Source organism: Homo sapiens, chromosome 10, assembly GCF_000001405.40.
Source record: "Homo sapiens chromosome 10, GRCh38.p14 Primary Assembly".
NCBI lineage: Eukaryota > Metazoa > Chordata > Mammalia > Primates > Hominidae > Homo > Homo sapiens.
In genome coordinates, this window is record NC_000010.11 from 25,631,911 (window position 1) to 25,654,651 (window position 22,741).

Below are 22,741 nucleotides of genomic sequence, written 5' to 3' on the forward strand. Positions count from 1 at the left end.
CACCTCCAAAAAAATAAACTCTTATCCAAGTCTGCAAGGCCTAAAGCCATTTAGAAACTCCTCTTCCTTTGTATAAAGCCATGCATGCAACTTTTATCTTTTATATAAAAGATATAGACTTTTTTTAGATAGAATCTCATTCTATCACCCAGGCTGGCGTGCAGTGGTACAATCTTGGCTCACTGCAATGTCTGCCTCCTGGGTTCAAGCAAGTCTCATGCCTCAGCCTCCCAAGGAGCTGGTATTACAGGCGCACACCACCACACCTGGCAAATTTTTGTATTTTTAGTAGAGACGAGGTTTTGCCATATTGGCCAGGCTGGTCTCAAACTTCTGGCCTCAAGTAATCTGCCCATCTCGGCCTCCCAAAGTGCTGGGATTACAGGTGTGAGCCACTGCTCCCAGCCGCAACTTATTTTTGGTGTTGCATAATCTTATTTGGTATGACAGAAATTCAGCATTAGCTTTTTCTCTTTAGATCCCAGCTGCACAGTCCTTATCCAGACCCCCCATTTTATGCAGATAGCTGTATCAGACTTGCTGGGAGGATGGTAATTTTCAAAGTACAAAAAAGAAATAATATTCATTTGGAAAAAACAAAACTCCATGACCTAAATATTGAAAGTAGGTTACAGAAATAAAAATTATAAAGAACTCAGTGAGTTTTGGGTTTACTATTTAGAGCTAGGAATTAGCAATGCTTGTTTGGGTATCACTGAAAAGGAAATAATTCTTGCATCAAAGTGCTTGAGAATCCTCCGGAGACCCTGTCTGCTCCCTTGATTTCCAACTCTTCCCACTGCTGTGTTGTCCCGGGGCCTCTGCCCTCCTTCCCTTTCTCTGACATAATCCCTGTAACCTTTATCTAGAGGATGACTCTTTCTGACACATTCAAGACTCTGCTAATCTTTCCCTACATATTTTTTTTTTCTGGAGAAGACATTGCCGTCTCCTCACTGCCACTCCATTACCTGGCTTTTCCTCTTCTAAATGTTAGTAATTTCTCCTTGTATCTTGGCATAAGTGAATTATGTCCACAGAAGCGAATTCTTGTATGGCTTGACATATTTCAGTATCTTAGCATGTGCACGCACGCATGCGCACACACACACCTCAATTCCCAAGAATGTTTCATTTTAATTCCTTGTAGTTCAACCATGATTTGTGCATAAAATAATTCTTAAAAGAATTTCTTTTATGAGTTAGGTTGGGTATTTAGCCATTTTGTCCTAGTTCCCCTGATATTGTAGCCATTTTTATTAATAAAGTACAAAAAATGCATCATAAACCTTTGGGCCAAGAGCTTTGTTCGCAGAGATGTCAGTGGTTAGTCAAGGTCAGATTTAACACCCCTAGGGATCCTTTTTCCTCCCCACCTTATTTTTGAGACAGGGTGTCTCTCTGTCACCCAGACTGGAGTGCAGTTGTGCAATCACGGCTCACTGCAGCCTTGACCTCCCCAGCTCAAGGGATTCTCCCTCCTCAGCCTCCCAAGTAGTTGGGACTACAGGCATGCACCAGCACACCCGGTTAATTTTTGTATTAGGTGTAGACATGGGGTTTTGCCATGTTGCCCAGACTGGTCTCAAACTCCTTGGCTCAAGCAATCCACTCCTCTTGGCCTCCCTAAGTGCTGGAGTTACAGGCATAAGCCACTGTGCCTGACCTCCTCCCCACCTTCTTAATAGCTTCTAGAAATCTGCTGAGTACAATGGAGGGCATACAAGCTTGGATATGAGAGTCTAGACCCAAGAGAAAAAAACCACAGAACTATAAAATTGACATGTGGCATCTCACATTACCTCTCCATTAACCTCATAATAAAACTGACAAACATTTATAGTTACTGACTAGTGTGTCAGGCGCTGTACTAAGCACTTTACGTGCATTAAACACACTTAAATTCTCAATAACCCTTGAGATAGGTAAATGTATATCTCCCTTTCCCAGAGGAGGAACCAGAAGCCCAGAGAGGTTAAGTCAATTATCCTCAGCCTTTAGCTAAGTTCCATCTCTGTTCCTCCTCTCACTCTTCTGGAGAGTAGCAATAACATATCCAATCCCAACCTCCAAACCCCCAAACACACAACTGAATGGTATAAAGACAGTGTCCTGACCTCTCTAAGCATCGGTGCTCCCCTCTGAGATTTGCAGAAATCTCAGTCTGCAAATCCCCCGCCCCATCACAGTTTTCTCAGCTCTCTCAGCTTTCATTTATTTATCTGAAAATGTGAATGCTTAAACTCGTGTGTTCCTTACCCCTTCAGAAAGCAGTTGGGTGGAGTAGACAGAGTAATGAGCCCCTTCCCCAAAGATGTCCACGTACGCCTCCTCCAAGTCTGTGAATAAGTTAGATTCCATGGCAAAGGAGAATTAAAGTTTCCAATCAGCTGACTATCATATAGTGAGAGAGTAGCCTAGATTACCCAGGTGGAGCCAGCATAATCCCAAATACACTGAAAAGTGTAAGAGGAAGGCTAAAGAGGAGGTTGGAGTGACTCAAAGTAAGAAGGACTCCACCTGCCGTTGCTGGCTCCAAAGATGACCAGGAGCTGAGGAATGCAGGTTCCTCTAGAAGCTGGAGAAGGCAAGAAAACAATTCCATGCCAGAGCTCCAGACAGGAGTACAGCCCTGCCAACACTTTGGTTCCAGGCTAGTGAGACCAATGTTGGACTCTGACCTAGGGAACTGCAGGGTAATACATTTGTATTGTTTGAAGCCATTCAGTGCACGATAATCTGTTACAGCACGTATAGAAGACAAATACACTGGGTGACATGGGAAACATCCCTTAATCTCTCTGCAATTCTATTTTCTCATTAGAAAATAGAGTTCATATACATATGTAACAAACCTGCACGTTGTGTACATGTACCCTAAAACTTAAAGTATAATAAAAAAAGACAAAAAAAAGATTAAATAGTTGATATTAAAAAAGAAAATAGAGTTCATTCTGACCCTGAGTCCCTGGCCTTAAACTGAATCCTAACCATAACTTTAACTCTATTTAGATTCAAACTCTACAGCTAAGCGAGTAACAAACCAGTTAGTACAAGAAAAAATGCACTCACAGATTTCTTTGCTCATAAACTTTCTTTATATTATGGAGCCAACATGAGATCCAATGGACTAATGAAGATAAGGAGTGTAGCACATGACTCACCCTCAAGAAACTTCAGCTCCCTTCTTCCACTGGACACTGCCATGCTGATTTCAAATCCCACCTTATTCACCTGCTGCAAGAACAAAAGAAGAAACAATGTTCACACCTGATGTATATCAAATATTGTTGAAGTAGAAATGCAAGCCAAGTTGAAGTCATGAACAGTTAAAAGAAATGAATCTCATTTATCTGGAGTTTATTTGCCTATTACAAGCTTCACTTTGTGCAGGTCAGTACCTGGACTTGCCCAAAGGGCCTTTCACTGTTTATTCCAGAAACAAACAAACAAACAAAAACCAAAGAGAGGCAAAGAAAAAGTAAAAGTTACTGGGATGATTTGAAGTCACCGAGAGAGTGGTGACAGGTAAAATTAAACTTGAAAGTTGTTAAGAATGTTGTCCAGAGGGGTCATGCTGTTGAAAATAATAAGTGGGTCATAATTAAATGCTTATTCTGTGATTTCTTGGTATATTTCATTTCTCTCCTTTGCTTTCAACCCCCACTCTTAGTTTCTGGTCACTGCAGGAATTAACCTGTATATGAAAGACAGTTTGGAAAAAAAAATGCAACTTTCTCACATCTGAACTAGCAGTTTGACATTTTATATGAATGCCAGCCAAATCATAAATCGAAAAGGAGAGAATTCTAGATCATCCATATTATCAAGAAGTCACAGGGGTTGCTGATAGGGAGGTTGGAGGGAGGAGTTTGGCCTTAGGATCCAGATAGGACAAATATAATGCTATAGGGGATCACGCTTTAAGCAAACTTGATACATGAAAGTCTAGATTTCCTTTACATAATTCAGGTATTATTCACTTTGCAGAAGAATTTAGGCAGTGATTCTTGAAAATGGGCCATTCTCCTAATGCATGTTTTTAAAAATATATATTCTTGAAAAATGTGATTAATAACGTGATTCTCTAAGCTCAGAAATAAAGCTGCATACCTACAATCATCTGATAGTCAATAAAATCATCAAAAGCAAGCAATGTGGAAAAGACTCTCCGTTCAATTAATGGGATAACTGGCTAACCATATACAGAAACTTAAAACAGGACCCCTTCCCTCATACCATATACAAAAATCAACTCAAGATGGATTAAAGACTTAAATGTAGGCCGGGCATGGTGGCTCAAGCCTGTGATCCCAGCACTTTGGGAGGCTGAGGTGGGAAGATCACAAGGTCAGGAGATCCAGACCATCCTGGCTAACATGGTGAAACCCCGTCTCTACTAGAAATACAAAAAATTAGCCAGGCGTGGTGGCGGGCACCCACAGTCCCAGCTACTCGGGAGGCTAAGGCAGGAGAATGGCATGAACCCGGGAGGCAGAGCTTGCAGTAAGCCGAGATCGCGCCACTGCACTCCAGCCTGGGCAACAGAGCAAGACTCCGTCTCAAAAAAAAAAAAAGACTTAAATGTAAAACCCCAAAACTATAGAAGCATATCTGTTGCATAAACAGTTTGCACTTATTCCTCCCTGGAGAGACCCTTATTTGAATTGTTTATTCCTAACACCCATGGTTTTTATATATTTTCTATTACCTTGATCCTGTTCTATGTTGTCTTCATGTGAAACTCGTGAAAGCTAAGTATAAAACTAAATTTTGTTATATGGCTCTAAAGATGCCCAGCACCTGAAATCCAATGATCTTTAATAAATCAATCCAAGCAAATACTCAAAGGAGCAAGGGAAATGTTCAGACCAAAGGTTTTTGGCCAGATTCTGGCCATGGCTTTGAAACAGCTCTTAACCAGATTCAATGGCTAGTTGATAATGAGATGCTTGTTTTGGCTTTATAGCTTGTCGTCTAAGGTTTATTATGCTATGGATTCTCACTCGTTTGAAAAGAACAGGTGGGACTCAACTCAGTTCTAATGGTGACTCCTAAAGCAAACCTCTCCTACAGCTAAGGTCTGTTCCTAGGGAAGTAGCAGTGCTGCCTGTTAGGCAGGGAAGAGATTCAAGGGAAGGTCTTAAAATCTAGGGCTCTATGCCAGGCATGGTGGGTATGCCTGTAATCCCTACACTTTGGGAGGCTGTGGTACACTCCAGTCTGGGTAACAGAAGACCTGTCAAAAAAAAAAAAAAAAAAAAAAAAAAAAAAAAAAAAAAAAAAAAAAAAAGCAGGGGTGCTCTGGAAACGACAAACCTAAGAAAAAATGGTATCTCCACCTCTTACTGATTGGATGCATTTGAGCATATTGCTCGATCTCTGAGTTTCACTTGGCTCACAGTAAGCCTTCAATAAATGCTGATAACAATGGTAATTACCATTCTGTAATCTCACACACATGTTCTAAGCGTCTTTTAGCTGCACAGCCTCTATGCACCAAAGCAGCAACAGGATGCTTCCAAGAACCATTTCAATTGCATCCCTTCAAACAGGAGTGATGAGTCAACAGGTACTTTATACTTCTGCAGTTCATACAGCTTTGTAGACAGATCATCTTATTTGTACTTTTTGAACTTGACTCATCACTCTTCCTGGACACGCAGGGGTGAGGGATAGAGATGGGGAAGGTAGATGCTGCTACCAAGATGATGGTCTTTCACGTAGCTATGAAACCTGCTTAAACCAATTCAGGGGGAATTTTAAGGCATAGCGTTAATTCTTTATCAATGCCAAGGAGCAAAGTCCAAAGACAAATTAAGACAAGGTCCAAACAGAATAGTTGAAGCCGGCCTGGACCAAAGGGCAAGGATGATCTACTCATGAAGCAGCAGCTACAAAAGCTGGGGTCCTGCCATAAAACAGACACCACACAAGTAATTTTTACTGGGACAATTTAACATCAAAGTTATTAACTACTAATGAAGGATTACCTTCTAAGAGAGGTAAAGATAACTCTTAATATACAGAAATAGGCCGGGCACTGTGGCTCACTCCTCTAATCCCAGCACTTCGGGAGGCCGAGGTGGGTGGATCATCTGAGGTCAGGGGTTCAAGACCAGCCTGGCCAACATGGTGAAACCCCATCTCTACTAAAAAATACAAACATTAGCTGGGCATGGTAGTGCATGCCTTCAGCTACTTAGGAGGCTGAAGCAGGAGAATCGTTTGAACTGGGGAGGTGGAGGTTGCAGTAAGCTGAGATCACACTACTGCACTCCAGCCTTAGCTATAGAGTGAATGAGACTCCATCTAAAAACAAAAAAATGAAAAACAAAAACAGAAATAGCATCTCTAGAGTACAACCACTCCACGAAGGGGCTGAAAGAGTGCTCGAGGAAGGAACAAACTTGGAAAAAGCTCCACTCCATGGCTGAGACTTACTTTGTTGGAGACAACGGATCGATGGCCCACTGGATGGAGAAGTTTGCTGAGATGCCACAGGCCAGGACGGGCTGGCAGGAAACTGCCCATGGTGGGTGCTATTGGGGCTTACCACCTTGGGTTGCAGTATCCCTAGCCCCACTGGCAGGAAAGCTGCCCGCTTTGTTCCCTAAATAGGGACTTGTATGAATGGCCCCACGAAGGTTCAGCTGTCTCTTACTTCTAATCAGTGAAATTCCTAAACAAGGAAGCCACCTGCTGGCAGCCATGGCTATGCCGAAAGAGCAAGAAAAATAAGGTACCAGAAAGGGAAAAACAAGCCCTGTCCTCTTTTAATATCTCTCCCACTCTCTCACCTCTATCAAGGACCAGTTGCACTGGCCGAGGAGACATATTCCAGGGTCCATCTCCAGTAGCACAAAGTAGGACAAAGAAGAGTGGATTTGGAGATGAGGCACTGATAACTGGCATAGATTCAAAGTAGGTAAAATGAAGGTGCAGGTTTGGAGAAATGGCCGGCGTCCACCAAGACGATTTTCAACGTCATGCTCAGAACCTCCGACAAGGGAATATTAGGACTAACCAGTGGCATATTATGGGCATAATGGCTCTCACAATTAATCTGCTTCTGTGAACAAAACTGCAGGTTCTGTATGCTCCCCCTATCCAGCCTATTTCTTTCTTTCTTTCTTTCTTTCTTTTTTTTTTTTTTTTTTTTTTTGAGACGGAGTCTCGTTCTTTCGCCCAGGCTGGAGTGCTCGATCTCGGCTCACTGCAAGCTCCGCCTCCCGGGTTCACGCCATTCTCCTGCCTCAGCCTCCCGAGTAGCTGGGACTACAGGCACCCAACACCATGCCCAGTTAATTTGTGTATTTTTAGTAGAGAAAGGGTTTCACCATATTGGTCAGGCTGGTCTCCAACTCCTAAACTCAAGTGATCCACCCGCTTCAGCCTCCCAAAGTGTTGGGATTACAAGCGTGAGCCACCACACCTGGCCCCAGTTCTTAAAAGAAGTGTAATAACCTGGGTTCCTATTTGGCTCAGCAGGTCCGTCTAAGACCTAATGAGATGTCTGCAGCATGCTCTGTTACAGCTCTGTGCCTATTACTAGAAACTTCCCAGAGCGGAAGTTGGAACTGAACAAAGGGAGACTTAAAGTAAGCATTGGCCACAGGAGCATATAAACCCAATTTGAATATTTTAAAATTTAATTAACCATGATTATGGATTGCATGACTGAATTCACCAACTGATTCAGTCAAAATAAACTAGTTGCTATTGCAATTTTACTTCCTAATGATTGTAATGAATTAGTTGAGAGACGCTGGGAAATATTTTCCAGTATAATATTTAAGAATTTTATCAACCAGGGTCTCAAAGGACTTAATTTAGGTATAATAACTTTTTTCTCTTTCTGCTGCTGAAATGTGGTGAATCTATGTGTGACTAATTGAAGTTGCACACAGTGATCTATCCACATGACCAGAAGAGGGCTCTGAAGTAGGCTAAGTGCTAGAGGTGTCTCATTTAATTCCAGGAAAGGGGCTATCCTTCCTCTCTATCCTGAAAGCTTATTTTCCTGAACTAAACTAGTGAATCTACTATGGACCCAGCTCTGTGCACAGTGAGGAGAAAGGTTTTTGTTTTTTGTTTTTTGTTTTTTCTTCTTTTTTTGAGACGGAGTCTCACTCTATCGCCAGTCTAGAGTGCAGTGGCACGATCCCAGCTCACTACAACTTCCGCCTCCCGGGTTCAAGTTGTTCTCCTGCCTCAGGCACCCGAGTAGCTTGGACTGCAGGCTCCCACCACCACACCCAGCTAATTTTCGTATTTTTAGTAGAGACAGGGTTTCACCATGTTGGCCAGGATAGTCTCGATCTCTTGACCTCGTGATCCACCCGCCTCAGCCTCCCAAAGTGCTGGGATTATAGGTGCGAGTCACCGCAGCCAGCAGAGAAAGGTTTTTATAAAATAAATAGACATTCTGGCCTGGACATATGATTATGAGAACACTACAAAGAGCTAAGGAAGGGGCCTCAATTATGTGGCACAAACATTAGCTACAAGAGATACTCAGAGACAGGGACCATCCGTGGGTCTATGTGCACTTGAACACCTGGGCAGGGCTCATGGAGAAGGTAGCACTGACTTTGCCTAATATTTTGTGGGGTTTGTCTGTGTTTGTGTTAAGGGGAATGGTGCATTGTGTACTTGTGGCAGGCCAGGTCTCACTAACCCAGGCCTCCATAACAGCTGTTTCAGCACTGACTGAGTGGTTAAGTTAAATATTAAAAGCAGATAGAGCCAGTGCCCTTATACAAAAGCTAGAATGTAATAAAAACCCACCAAGAGTTTTGCCTAGGCCATTCCAGGGCCTTGAAGTATGAAATGATAATAAGGGAATTCTTAACAGGAATCGTTTAGAATTAAACAAGTTTTATTGGGGGTCTAAAGAAACTCCTCAGACCGCCACAAACAAGTTTATTGGGGGTCTGAAGGAACTCCCCAGACCTCCGTGATTTAGCAGGAGACAAGATAAGGGTAATCACCCCAGCACCTGGACCCATTTAGATTAAGTAAATGTACTGAGGCTCCAGAGGAAGGTCTTCAGAACTCGGATATTAGTTATAGATTAGAAGAAGTTAATCACTTATGTCTTTAGATGAATGCAAACTTACACATAGACATATAGCTTAGAAGGTATATAAGCTCTGGAAAACTTCGTAATTTTGAGTTGGTCTGGTGACATTTTCCGGGCCTTCTCCTTGTACACAGGTATGGAAATAAACTCCCTTCTTTCCCAGATCATCTGCATCTTGTTATTGGGCCATGAGAATAAGCAGCCCCACCCTCAATTTGGTCCAGGAACATACTGGCAGTGGAAAGACATGAAGTATAATATAAATCCTGGATAATATAAATCCTGGATTCCAGTTCTAGCTCATCTACTCCATAGTCGTGAGACTTTAAGCAAAGCACTCACTAAACCCCAACTGGGTTATTCCTGAAGTGAGAATGGTAACGGATGGTTATCGTCCACATAAAATGAGACTATGTAAAGCATAAAGTTCCATCAGCCTTTATTATTACTAAGAAGGTAGACTTAACAAGACTATGTCATTAGACAGAGGATCTCTTTTCCTGGCCAAACCTGATTATGGTCACCTTGAAACGAATTGGACTCAAATGAATTTGAAAGGCAAACTGCCTTCAGCTGCATAATTCCCCCAGCACAAAGGCAACAGCAAATGAAACAACATAAACAACATTCCAGGTTCATACCTTATATGTGTTTGTTCTTTATTTTAAACTACAGAACATGGTGATTCTTTTAAAGCTACAAGCAATCATGCCAAGTGTCCAGGTTTATTCGGCATGACAGCTGAGAGTCCAGGATGAATTGAAGGCTCTATTTTTAGATTTCAGTCAAAGGATAAAAATCAGACCTTCCTGTGGGAATCATCTATTCTGAGTCATGCAACACCATCAGGCCAGAATAAAATAGCTCCACAACCCAAAGCATTCATCACCTGTGAAATAAGAAACAGAGTAATTTGCAAGATTCCTCTTTCTGCAACCTTGGAGCTTTGGTGGCATTCTGTGAGATGAGCATAGTGCCCTTCCTCAGTGCAAATGGGCCAACCAGCAGACTTAGCTGTTAAAGAGGCAGGAGCCTTTACAAATTCGGCATGAATCAGAAATAAAAGGTTATTTAGTTCAGGTGCAGTGGCTCATGCCTATAATCCCAGGACTGTGGGAGGCTGAGTCTTGAGGATCATTTGAGGCTGGGAATTAGAGACCAGCCTGGACAACATAGTGAGACCTCATCTCTATAAAAAAAAATAAAGAAAAAATATAAGAAGATAATTTAAATTTAAGTCAAGAAGGAAAGTAACTGGCCGTTCTAAATATTATTCAATAAATTGTTTGACTGATAATGGCTAACCTTTCTGCCCAACTTAGACTGATAAGTCTATGTTTCTATGCTCAAGAATCAAACACACAACACTTGGTTATTCTAAGAATGTATAGAATGTGATCACAGAAACAATATCCAATATAGCTAGGTCATTAGAGACTCAGATTCAGAAATTTAGGTATCATCTGATTTAAACTCCTTCATTTTTAAAGTGAAGTGAAGTAACTGACACCCATGGAATTTAAACAACCTGCTCCAGAGTTAATTAACAAATTAGTGGCAGAGCAGGATCTAGAAGACACAGAGCAGAAACATTCAAAGACTATAAATGGTTAAGGTCCTGATTTTCTAATCACAGGAAATAGTAGACTCCAAAAACTACAGACGAATGAAATGAAGGAATCGTAGATTCACATCTGGAAGGAGTAATGAAGATCATCTATTCTGACCCACTCATTTTTGAGGTGAAACAGGATGAGCTCGACTAAGGTGTTTGCCTAGCAGCTGGTTAATGACAGAGCACAGCTAGAACCTGGGTCTCCTGGACTTTGCCTGGGGATCTTTTCACTTCACTAGCGTTGAGATTCTTCTCAGGCAAAATTCTAGAATAGATTATTAAACAGATGGCTTGGGAGCATTTAAAAAGAAAGCAATCATTAGCAGCCAGCATGGGTTCAGTTAGAACAAGTAAGTCATGCCAGACTAATCTCATTTCCTTTTTGATGCAGTTACAAACAAATGTACACATCATTATAGTATGCTAAAATGAGGGATAGTCCAACAGAATTGAGGTGAGCTATATTTAAGCAGCTTAAAGTCATCGCCAATCTTTCCTGGTCCATATTTTTCTTCTCTTTGTTTCCCTGGCCTGTGTTCTTTTCAGAACTCTACAATCCTCTACTTCCCTACCTAGGTCTGGGGCCATCCAGTGAGCATCCACATTCCTTCTTTTATAACCTGTGTACATCTGGGATCCTTTAGGTTTTTCCAAACTGAAGATATAGAATTTACGTAATTGTAGAATTTGTTTTGATTGTGAATACTAGATTTTGAGAAGACACATAGACATAGTATCCTTAGTGGGAAGACAATGAGAGTTTTAGATTCACCTGGTGATTTTTCTAGTGCTATTGGAGAGGTACTGTGCATCCACAAATACCAAGATTCCAAGGGAAAAAGGAAGATACCATTATCAGGTGGTGTGTGCAGAGATGAACAGCTCTCAATTGGCAATAAAATCAAATTATCAGGTTCTTCCACTGGTTATCATGGTATGTATTATCATGGAAGTGAGAGGTGGATGAGCTTTAAGGAGATTTTGAAAATTATGCAATGGGAGAAGGAGTTTTAATGTATTAATATATAAATCTTTCTCAAATCTTTACCTGGAGTTGAGCTTACTTAATAACGTTGCCTATTATCAGGATGCCAGAGGGCAACATGAGGTTACCAAAGCTTCTTAGACCAAGGAATGTTCATGGAATACACAGCATGTCTTGACCTCTGTAAGACATTGCGAAAGGCTTCCATGGTCTCCTCAATGAGCACTGTGGCCAGATTTTTAGGATATAGCATGTCTTGATTAATGGCTCTAGAGTTCTCTAGAAGTTGACCACAGTGCACTGTTCTTGGCTTTTTAGTGTTCAACTGATGACCTAAATGAAAACATATGCTATTCCCTGATCAAACTAACACCCCCAAATTTAGGCTTGACTTAAATTTGTAACAGTTAATGCTCTGCAAAGATGGTGCAGTCCCAGGAGAGAGTCAGTTCCCATTGCTGGACATCTTAAAAGAGAGGCTGAATGAGGCGCCTGGTGGAGACACAGCCAAGGAGACTTAATGTATCTATGAGATTATGGGGCAAAACAATCTTTTAATTTTTTTTCTATTGTGTGATTCAATTATTCTAAAATCTAAGACCATGAAAATCTGAAATGCAAATGCATATCACTTATTAATGGTTAAGAAAAGTAATGTTTGTTTGTTTATTATCCTTCCTTGGTTTTGCCTGTCCAAGGTGACACATGCCATATGTGTTCAATATGCTCAAAACCTGGATGAATAACTCAGAGGAGACAAGCTGACATTGGGGGCGAGCCTCTAGGTTAAAAAGGTGAGAATGAGTCACAAATAGATGCCAAAATTGTATTTGCATGACAATGCTTAGATGAAGAAAATAGTCCAGAGGAAAAATGACCTGTTTATTCTGATAGTTTAGAGAAAATATGACTTAGAAGGGCAGAAACTGGGCCTAAAATATACTTCCATTTCATTTTAAAGAACTCATAATGAGATGTTTTCTGGTATTTTTTTAAATGGAAATCTCCATGTCCTTTCAGACAAATAGAGAGCAAGGAGAGCTGTCTCTCTACACTTTAAAAAGGGACTCACGTGCACATGTTTCTGTGGAAGCTGGTAAGCACACATCTGTGTGGGTTCTCAGATGGTCAAAATCCTTCCTGCCAGAATCAGTCTCAACCACTCAGAAATTATTTAACATCTGCAATACTCTCCCCATTTTCCCTGCAAAATAATGCAAGCAAACAAACATAAAAGACATTGTCCCTATAATTTATCATCTCCCTAGTTCATGACAGAAGAAATGCACCTAAATCACAGGTTGGCATACATCATGGCAGGCGTCATGGATGAGGAGTTGGAAGAACTAGGTTCTGTCCAGGCTCCATGCTTTCATAGTTGTACATCCTTATCTGAGTCCCACATTCTTCATGAAGTCCCATTTGTAGAGGAAGGATTCTTGAAGGCTGAGATACTTGAGCTAAAGCCTGAAGGATGAGAAGGATTTAGCTATACAAAGAGGTTTTCAGGCAGACACATCAGCAGGTGCAAGGATCCTCAAGGAAGACAGTTTTGGGTTACACTCAAGGAACTTAGAAAAGGCCGATGTGGCCATGGGTGAGACAAAGAGAAGGATGGGCTGGGTAAGTCAGAAGGAGCCAGATCAGGCAGAGCCTTCGTGCCACAGTAAGGAGGTTGGATTTTTCCCAAGCCATTTAGAAAGCAACAAAGGATTTAAGCAAGCAGAAATATGTCATGAGATATAATTTTTAAAGCTTTCTCAAGCTGTTATATGGAGAAGAGGTTGTCATAGCATCAGGCAGTATAATAAGTAGGACAACCAGTTCAGTGGCAATTGAAGCTGTACAAGCAAGAATAAAGATTTCGGCTAGAAGGTTAGAAGGGAGAAGATGAAGACTGAGGTACATAGAGGTGGAGCTGAGAAGACTTGCAGCTAATGGCTGAGATGTTATTGTATGGATAATCCAAGGAAATATAAATGGGTTTGAGAAACTCAGAAAATATATACAAATGTGAGGCATTGCTATTAATATAGCAAAATGTGTGGTTCAGGATATAAAAGGCTACTCTTTGTAGATACATGTGCTAAACTTACTCCTGAACATAAGGTAGGAAGCGTCACATATATACATTTACCTACCAGGCAACTGAGGGGCTCTGATGGGTCCTGTCTGAGGGCAAGCAAGGAAATCATCAGCAATACTGACTACTCCAATTACTTCTCACTGTAGTTCGTCCACCATGGCCAGGCTAGAGTTTCTCCTTTTGAGACAGAGCTGTCCTTGTATTCCTGGGCAGCATCTTGAACTCACTAGTGCCATGCTGATTCCATGATTAGTTGCCAGGAAAAGCATTCCCATCCCCTACCCAGTAGGCTACCTAGGACATTCTTTTTGTTTTTTTGTTTTTTGAGATAAGAACTTGCTCTGTCACCGAGGCTGGATAGCTCACTGCAGCCTTGAAGTCCTTGGCTCAAGTGATCCTCCCACCTCAGTCTCCTGAATAGTTGGGACTACAGGTGTGCACCACCACACATGGTTAATTTTGTTTTTATTTTTAGAGGTGAGGTCTTGCTATGTTGCCCGGGCTGGTCTCAAACTCCTGGACTCCAGTGATCCTCCCACCCTCGCCTCTCAAAGTGCTGGGATTACAAGCATGAGCCACCACACCCGGCCTACTTAAAGATATTTCTGACAGCCTTCCCACTTTTACAGGGCATTGAGACTTGCAAAAGATGCATCCATAAAGCCAAAATAGCCGTGCAGTTTTGGAAGCCCCAAATCAAACCATTTATGTGACATTATACAGAAAAAATTAAATGGTTCATTATCTGAATTTTTTTTATCTTTCAGCTGTAAGGATGGGTCTTATTTAGACACAGCCAAAATTACTGCTCTATAAAGAGCTTAGGGCTACCCTGACTCGGAAAGATCTATATAAAACTCAGTTCTATTTCCAAGGCTGCTACAGATCCAAAATAAACCATCAGCAGTCTGTACATTCATTTATATATACATACTGTACCTTCTCTAACTGAAAATATTTCACACAGCAGATTGAATTCAATATGCTTTCCCTGAAGATGCTATTATGAAGAGCAAAAGTGCTATTACCTAAAATTTAAACAGATAAGTTATTAATTGCAGTGTTTTTATAGCCTCCGCATTCTCTCCACTGATGATTCTCTTAACCTTTCCAATTACAAAAACGATCCAATAAGTATCCTAGTTTAATTAGAAAATATGTGCTCAAATCCTTATATTTTTGGCAGATTGCATTCACCACTCAGAAATTAATGTCCAGGGAAAGTGTCTTTCCAATATTTCAGGTGTACTCTGGATCAGTAAAGATATTGATACTTTCTAGATATTGTAAAGCAGAAAATAGATATTAGCATAAAATGAGCAATGTAGAATGCCTTTTAAATTGAATAGGTACTTTTTTCTGTTAAATCAGGAAAGACCTTAAAATTATATTCCCTTTTAAATTTTTTAATTATATAAATAATACATTTTCAATGTAGGGAAATGGTAAGATATAGATGGGCAGTGGTCTTACCTATATCCTTCCAGATATTTCCCTCTGGATAGACATGTATATTTTGTTACAATAATTCCTGCACCTCAAAAACAATACAAACAGTAAAAATGAGATTGTATTAGCCTTATTAACTGTTGCAGAGGTGCTAATTTATATACAATTCTATGTGCATTCATTTCAATTTTGACTTTTAAATTTAAATTGATACGATCAAAATAATACTACAAGTTTCCACGTGAAGCAGCAGCAGTTTCAGAATAATTCAAAACTTGATTCAGGCATGCTGCTGATAAAAAAAAAAAAAAAACATGTACCTTTTTTTTCATTAGAATATGCAGCTTTCTACTACTGCATTCTTCGAAGAGAAGAATATTCTGCCGGTTTGGCCACAAGCTCTTCACGTATAGACAGTTACTCCTTAGTAAACTCTTCATTCATCCTGGTGTTCTTGAAAATATTCCTCAAACATAGAAGAAGATTCATTTTCATATTCCTTTGGTTATTTAAATGTTGAATCTTCTCCACATTGAATGGCTAAATCAATATGCTATAATACAATGTTCATACTTTCTTCATCTGACTGATCATAAGGTAAGAAGAGAACTATGCTGCAGTCATCAGCCCACATACAACTTTAGTTACTTTTTTGAATTCTTTGCTTCTTAAGCCACTTGTAGAATCATCAAATAAGGAATCCATGTCTAGATCTAGAAACTTACAGTTTCCTTTTTAGCTTTTTTACTCTGCAGCTACATTTTGATCACGATGTTAACTTGCGGAATTTATAGAGAGAGCATGGCACTCAGGACTGCCAAGATGCCAGAAATACACTTGAATGACTCCACCATGAACTGAGGATCAACAAGAAAAACTCCATAGACTCGGAAACTCCACTGCTCGAGCTGCAGGACCAGCTGCTTCATCACAGTCAGGTGAATGTACAACTCAGTCCAAGCTGGACAATCAAAGCTGGCAAGGGTATTACCAATTACTAATGGGATTGTAATTGTCCTAGTCCTTTTGAAAGCAATTAAACAATATGAATCAAAAGCAATACAAAGGTTCATACCTTTTACACACCTTTATGCTCTATTTATGAAATTATAGACTAACCAAATGTTCCAAAAATATGGAAAAATTATATGCATGAAGCAGCACCTCGGATCATTATTCATAACCGTAAAGTATTGGAAAAAACCTACAGCGCCAACAATAGAAAAGTGAAAAATGAAATTACAGAGCATCCACTCAAATATTGTCAAGCCTTTTTAAAATTATGGTTATAAAGACTGTGCAAAGGCATGAATAATGCTCATGACATATTAAATAGTGACTCAAGCTTTATAATTATTTGTCTAATGATTTCAATAAAATATAAAAAGAGAATACTCACTATTACTAAGACCGACTGTCTAAACTAGGTTGCAATTTTTAATCAAGAGAGTGGCAGACAGAGTATATGTGTGATATGGTTTGTATCTGTGTCCCCACCAAATCTTGTGTCCCTATAATCCCCAGTGTTGGAGGTGGGGCCTGGTGGAAGGTGACTGGATCATGGGGGTGGATCCTTCATATATGGTTTGGCACCATCCCTTGGGTGCTGTTCTCATGACAGAGTTCTCACAAGATCTGGTTGTTTAAAATTCTGTGTCACCTGCCTAGCCTGCCACTCCACCTCTTCTTGCTCCTGCTCTGGCCATGTAAGATGTGCCTGCTTCCCCTTCACCTTCTGCCATAATCGTAAGTTTCCTAAGGCCTCCCAAGAAGCAGATGCTGCCATACTTCCTGTATAACCTACAGAACTGTGAGTCAATTAAACATCTTTTCTTTATAAATTACTCAGTCTCAGGTATTTCTTTATGGCAGTGCAAGAACAGACGAATGCAATGTGCATAGACTTTTCCAAGACCTTGGAATGTATTATGTGAAGGCATATTATTAGTCAGCGAAGTAGAACCACTAGAAGTAATATAGATTAAAGGATTTGTTATAGGGGTTAGATTTTTACAAAACTATGTTGCTGGTGGAGAAGTCTGTGCAAGGCTGTTGTCTCTGTGTCTGATGTTGAACCTGAAGTCACTATAGAATAGCCAGCCAGCAATTGGTAGGAAAGCCTGAGTAGATGAGGGCAAGGACATACTAGAAGCTGAAAGGACAAGCGAGTGCTTGAGGACAAACTTGACCCAAGTCCCTTGGCTTGGGCTTTCTGTCACTTGCAATCTAAGGAGTTCTAACTGATAAAAGTAGATCAGTCTTGGCCTTGGAATAATAAGTCTGATTATGTTATAGAAACTTCACTATGACTCCACCTAGCATTAAAACCCATGGAGCTGAGTGACTGACAACCCCTTCCAGAGACCAAATGGGCAGAATCTGGGAAAAACTGGGAAGACCAAAGGAATTAAAGACTGCAGCATGGAGGAGAAAGCAAGAATAGGAACCTTGAAAAGTGGCAATTTAGTAACCTTGAGGCTCTAGATCGAAGACTCTTCATGGCCATCGAGAAACCTGGAATCTGCTGAATGGAGTGTAGAAGTCACTCTCTAATCTCCACCTTCTATGCGTTCTCTGTGGGTTAGCAAGTAGAATGGAAACTTAACCCTTGGTGAAAAGCTGCTTTGTGCATTCTTCTAGACTCTATCTGTGTTTTTGGCCCACGAGGATAGGCATGGTACTGGGGTAAAACATTGTGGTGACAACTAAGGCTAAGTGTTGACTGATACAGCCATTACCTACTGCAGTGTACATGCCTCCAATTTACATTTGTTTGAAAATTCCTATATAAAGAAACTAAGTAAACAAAGCACAGGTCTTGATAAATTCACAGTTGTGTGTCTATACTGCCTTCATATCCAGTTGAAAAATGGTCAACACATCATAAATGATTTCATGCTGGACACAGTAGCTCATGTCCATAATCCCAGCACTTAGGGAGGCTGAGGTGGGACGATTACTTGAAGCCAGGTGTTTAAGATCATCCTGGGCAATAGAGGCTGATCTCTGTCTGTACAAAAAATAAAAAATTAGCTGAGCATGGTGGTGCACACCTACAGTCCCAGCTCTTGGGAGGGTGAAGCAGGAGGATCTCTAGAACCCAGGAGTCGAAGGCTGCAGTGAGCTATGATTGTGCTACTACACTGCAGCCTGGGCAACAGAGCTAGGCTCTGTCTCTAAAAATAAAAAAATAAAATAAATTTAAAAAGAAAGGAAGAAGAAGAAAAAGAAAAAATGATGTAGCAGAATTTTCCCTGCCAAATCCACCAGTTAATAACCTATTGTTATATCTTGAAAGTTATGTTGGGATTATTTCCTTCTGAAATGGACTTCCTTCCATTCCACCTTCTATCCCTGTGTATTTTTGTTCACCAAGACTCTTATGAGAAAATTCTACTACAAATATGCCATTGTTGGGGAGAGAAAAGCTTTCACCTCAGACTCTCTAAAACACCGGCTTATGTCTGCCCACCCCTCTGAGAAGTAAACATGATTTGTAAATAAAAGCCACCCTGGGGCTCACATGAGATCAAAATTTATCTCCACAGTTTTCATGTTATGTTATTATCCTAATGTTGCCTTAAGACTCTCAAAAATAACACTTTAAAAGATCCACATTTCTCATATCTAAAGGAAGTTTGTTATTCCTTTGTTTGCACCCTACCTTGTTAGAAAAAGGATTGGAGGAAGCTTTCTGTGATACAAAAGATAGAAAGAAAGAAGGGAAGAAAGAAAGAAAGAAAGAAAGAAAGAAAGAAAGAAAGAAAGAAAGAAAGAAAGAAAGAAAGAAAGAGAAGGAAGGAAGGAAAGAAAGAGAAAGGGAAAGAGAGAGAGGGAGAGAGAGAGAAAGAAAAAGGAAGGAAGGGAGAGAGAGAAAGAAAGAAAAAAGGAAGGAGGGAAGGAAAGAAAGAAAGAAAGAAAGAAAGAAAGAAAGAAAGAAAGAAAGAAAGAAAGAGAGAGAGAAAGAAAGAAAGAAAAAGAAAGAAAGAAAGAAAAGAAAAGAAAGAAAAAGAAAGAAAGAAAGAGAAAAAGGATCAGATCAGGTCAGAGAAAAAACAATGGTTAAAAAAATAACTTGTCACTAGGGTAAGAATAACATGCATAATGCATTTTTTAATGTCCTGATAAACTGAGCTGTATATTTGTTTCATAACTCCCCAGCTTCCACAGCAAAAATAGAGAACTGATAATTATCACTATTTTTATTCTTTATGGTTGCTCAGGGGGAAAATTTTTAAAGGGGACATTACTGGAATAAGGTTACCCTTCTGTCACTCACATTTGATTACTCATAGACTTTTCTATTTGAAGACGCATTAAGGAAAATTTTCCTTGCAAACAAATGTTGTCAAATGAATTGACCAACATGCATACCTGCCAAGTGCCCAGCATCCTCAAGTACCTATAGGACATTAACTCCAGTAGCCTGTGTAGCAAAGTAGAATAAAAATAAAGTTACTGGGAATTCAGGATTGATAATATCTCTGATTTGTATATTTCTGCAGCAGTCAGTCTCTTTCAAAATATGGGAACAGCAAGTTAAAATAAACTGTCTTATTGGCAGAACAGAGTGTGATCATGAGATACTATTCAGCTTTTATGCTGATTCATCAGCTCACAGTGAAACGAGCTTGCATGAGAGCATCCCAGGACCACTGAACATTCAGAGGTATGTCCTCGCATCTTAATTTTTTTAAGGTAAAATGAGATTTTCATAGAATAAGGATACAGCTGATAAATAGCAAGTCTAAAATTACATATACACTAGCCTACATTTAAGAATATCTTGGCTAATTATTCCTAAGTCATTGATGTTTTTGTTTGTCTTTGTTTTTTACTATTTATTTCCTTTGCTTTACAGCTTTATTGAGTCATAATTGATGTAAATAAACCATCCATATTTAAAGTGTATTATTGATGAGTTTTTACATAATATACTTCCATGAAACCATCTTCAGTCAATGTAATGAAACTTTATATCACTCTCAGAACTTTCTCTTACCTCTTTCACACTCTAATTATTGTTTTTAACCTGCCTGTTCCTATTATATAGCAAATAATTTGCTTTTTAGAATCAAGATCATTATGATGCAATGAATATTTATCATTTGCTCTTTTGAACTGTGTTTGATGATTCTGTGACTTTTGTAGGTATCACAAAAGGGATTTACTTTCATGCAGAAAACTTAGGCTCAGCAAATGAATCCATATTTACGAATTTATGATGGGCTGAAATGGTAGGAAGAACTGGCCAGTCAATCTTGGACAAGAGTAGAACATTTAAAATGAAGTGGAGGTGATGGTAATGGGGGTGGGGTTGTACCACTTCAGTATAAGGAAACTGCAAAGAAAAAAAAACCCACCTGATTACTATGGCGGGGGTCGGTTCATCATTACATCATGAAAGGGGCAAATAGTTTAGAATATGCTAGGGGCTGGTGAAGAATTAAAGAAAAAAAGAGGGAAGAATGAAAGGGGGTAAGGGAAGAAGGGGAAAAGGGAAGGAACAAATAAGATATTAAGAGTAAAGGGAAAAAGACAAACAGAGAATACTGCAGTAGGGCTTTGAGCTAAAAGACATACAGTGACTTTTGTGATAAAGAAACCAAAGAAGGTCGTGAAATGGGTATCCAAAAAAAAAAAAAAAACGGGCAGCCTGTGGCGCTGCGGCTGGATAAAGAACATCAGGGACAGGAAGGCTGTAATAAGATTCCACCACCATCTCTGCCCATCACTAGGGCTGGAGGCAGAGAAAAACTTCCCCTACTCAAGAAAAAGAAGCTATTTTTGTCAAGTTAAATGAGCCTGAACCTGCAGAGCTGAATTGGCAGATGAATATTGCTAATTGGTGCAGTTTCTTCGGTGCAGGAAAGAGTTTCCAATCAGACCGGCAATTCATTGGCCACATGAAGGTAATTTATTAATAAAAATGAACTGAAGTTTCAGAATCCTTGATAATGATGAGCTCATGGTCCTTCACCTCCCTTCCCTTCCCTAGAAAGAACACCCTACAACAATGATGCCTCAGTGATATCTTCTCCAGCCCATTCCATATGTGGCAACATTTCAAGTGGTTTTTTTTTTTATTAGGAATTTCTACATTTAGTTGTCAAATCAAGCTGCTCTAAATGCCTAATTCTGATTCTCCCTTCATCAACAGACTTTTTGAGGAGTTCCTGATTCAAAGTAACCAGGAAAGTCTGCTAACTGCAGCTTAATTCTGAAAAGTGAAGGGGAAAACAAAACAGGAGAAACAGTCTCCCTTTAAAAAAAAATTAACTTTATTTTTCAGTTTAATAAATTTGACAAATGTATCCTCCTATGTAACCATAACCACATTAAGACATGGAGAATTGACCTCACCCCAAAGAATTCTGGTTTCCTTTGCAGTAACCACTCTCCCCAGCCCTGGTCATAGACAGCCATTGGTCTCCTTTCTGTCATTGTAGATTAGTATTGCCTTTTCTAGAATTCCATATAAATGAAGTTATCTGATGGCTTTTTAAAAAGTCAGTTGAACGTTTTTTGAGATTCAATCTGTGTTGCTGTACATCATTAGTCCATGCTTTTCATGGCTGAGTAGTATTCTATTATATAAACGTACTCCAATATGTGTATCCATGGGCATTTGGGTTGTTTCTGTTTTAGCCCATTAAAAATCAGATGGCTATGGGTATTAGTGTCCACGTATTTGTGTGGACATATGTTCTCATTTCTCTTGGGTAAATGCCTGGGGGTGGGATTGCTGTGTCATATAGTAAGTGTATTTTTAACTTTATAAGAAACCATCAGCTGTTTTCCAAACTGACTGTACCACTTTACATTTCCATCAGTAATGCCTGAGATTTCTAGTTGCTCCAAACCAGAGCCACTGAAATGGGTATAAAGTGGTATCTCATTGTTTTAATCACATTTTCCTAATGACTAGTAATGTTAAGTGTTTTTTCATGTGTTTATTGGCCATTCGTGAATTTCTTTTTGTGAAATGTTTGCAAAATCTTATGCCCATTTTTAAAAATAGGGCCATTTTGTAACTGTCCAATGGGTTCTCCTTGCCTGCTGCCCAAGTAAAGGTGATTTATCAAGGAGTTTATCCTTTGCATGCCCAGGTAAAGGAATTGCAGTAGAGAGGGCTTAATTCACTCAGAGCCACCTGAATGGGAGACTGGAGTTTTACTACTCAAATCAGTCTCCCTGAAAATTTTGAGACCGGGGTTTTTAAAGGATAATTTGGCAGACAGGAGGCCAGGGACTGGAGAGTGCTGATTGGTTAGGTCAGAGATGAAATCACAGGGGATCGAAGTGGGTTTTTCTTGTTGTCTTCTGTTCCTGGGTGGGATTGCAGAACTGGTAGAGCCAGATTACTGGTCTGGGTGCTAGCTGGTGGATCAGAATGCAGGGTCTGGAAAATATCTCGAGCACCAGTCTTAGGTTTTACAATAGTGATCTTATCCCTAGGAGCAATTGGGGAGGTTCAGCATCTTGTGGCCTCTGGCTGTATGACTCCAGAACATAATTTCT

The 22,741-nt window shown here is 40.0% G+C and overlaps 1 long non-coding RNA gene and 1 pseudogene across 3 annotated transcripts in view; one reads left to right on the forward strand and one right to left on the reverse strand.

The window, feature by feature from the left end:
- On the reverse strand, positions 15,167-16,194 carry GPN3P1 (GPN-loop GTPase 3 pseudogene 1; annotated as a pseudogene).
- Positions 19,802-22,741, forward strand: part of LINC00836 (long intergenic non-protein coding RNA 836) — an 81,224-nt gene continuing 78,284 nt past the window's right edge. For 2 of the 3 annotated variants that reach the window (NR_108067.1, NR_108069.1), the window contains exons 1-2: positions 19,802-19,889; positions 20,959-21,132. This is a non-coding gene — a long non-coding RNA (long intergenic non-protein coding RNA 836). The remainder of the gene's footprint in view (positions 19,890-20,958; positions 21,133-22,741) is intronic. The other variant, NR_108068.1, reaches the window with a different exon arrangement.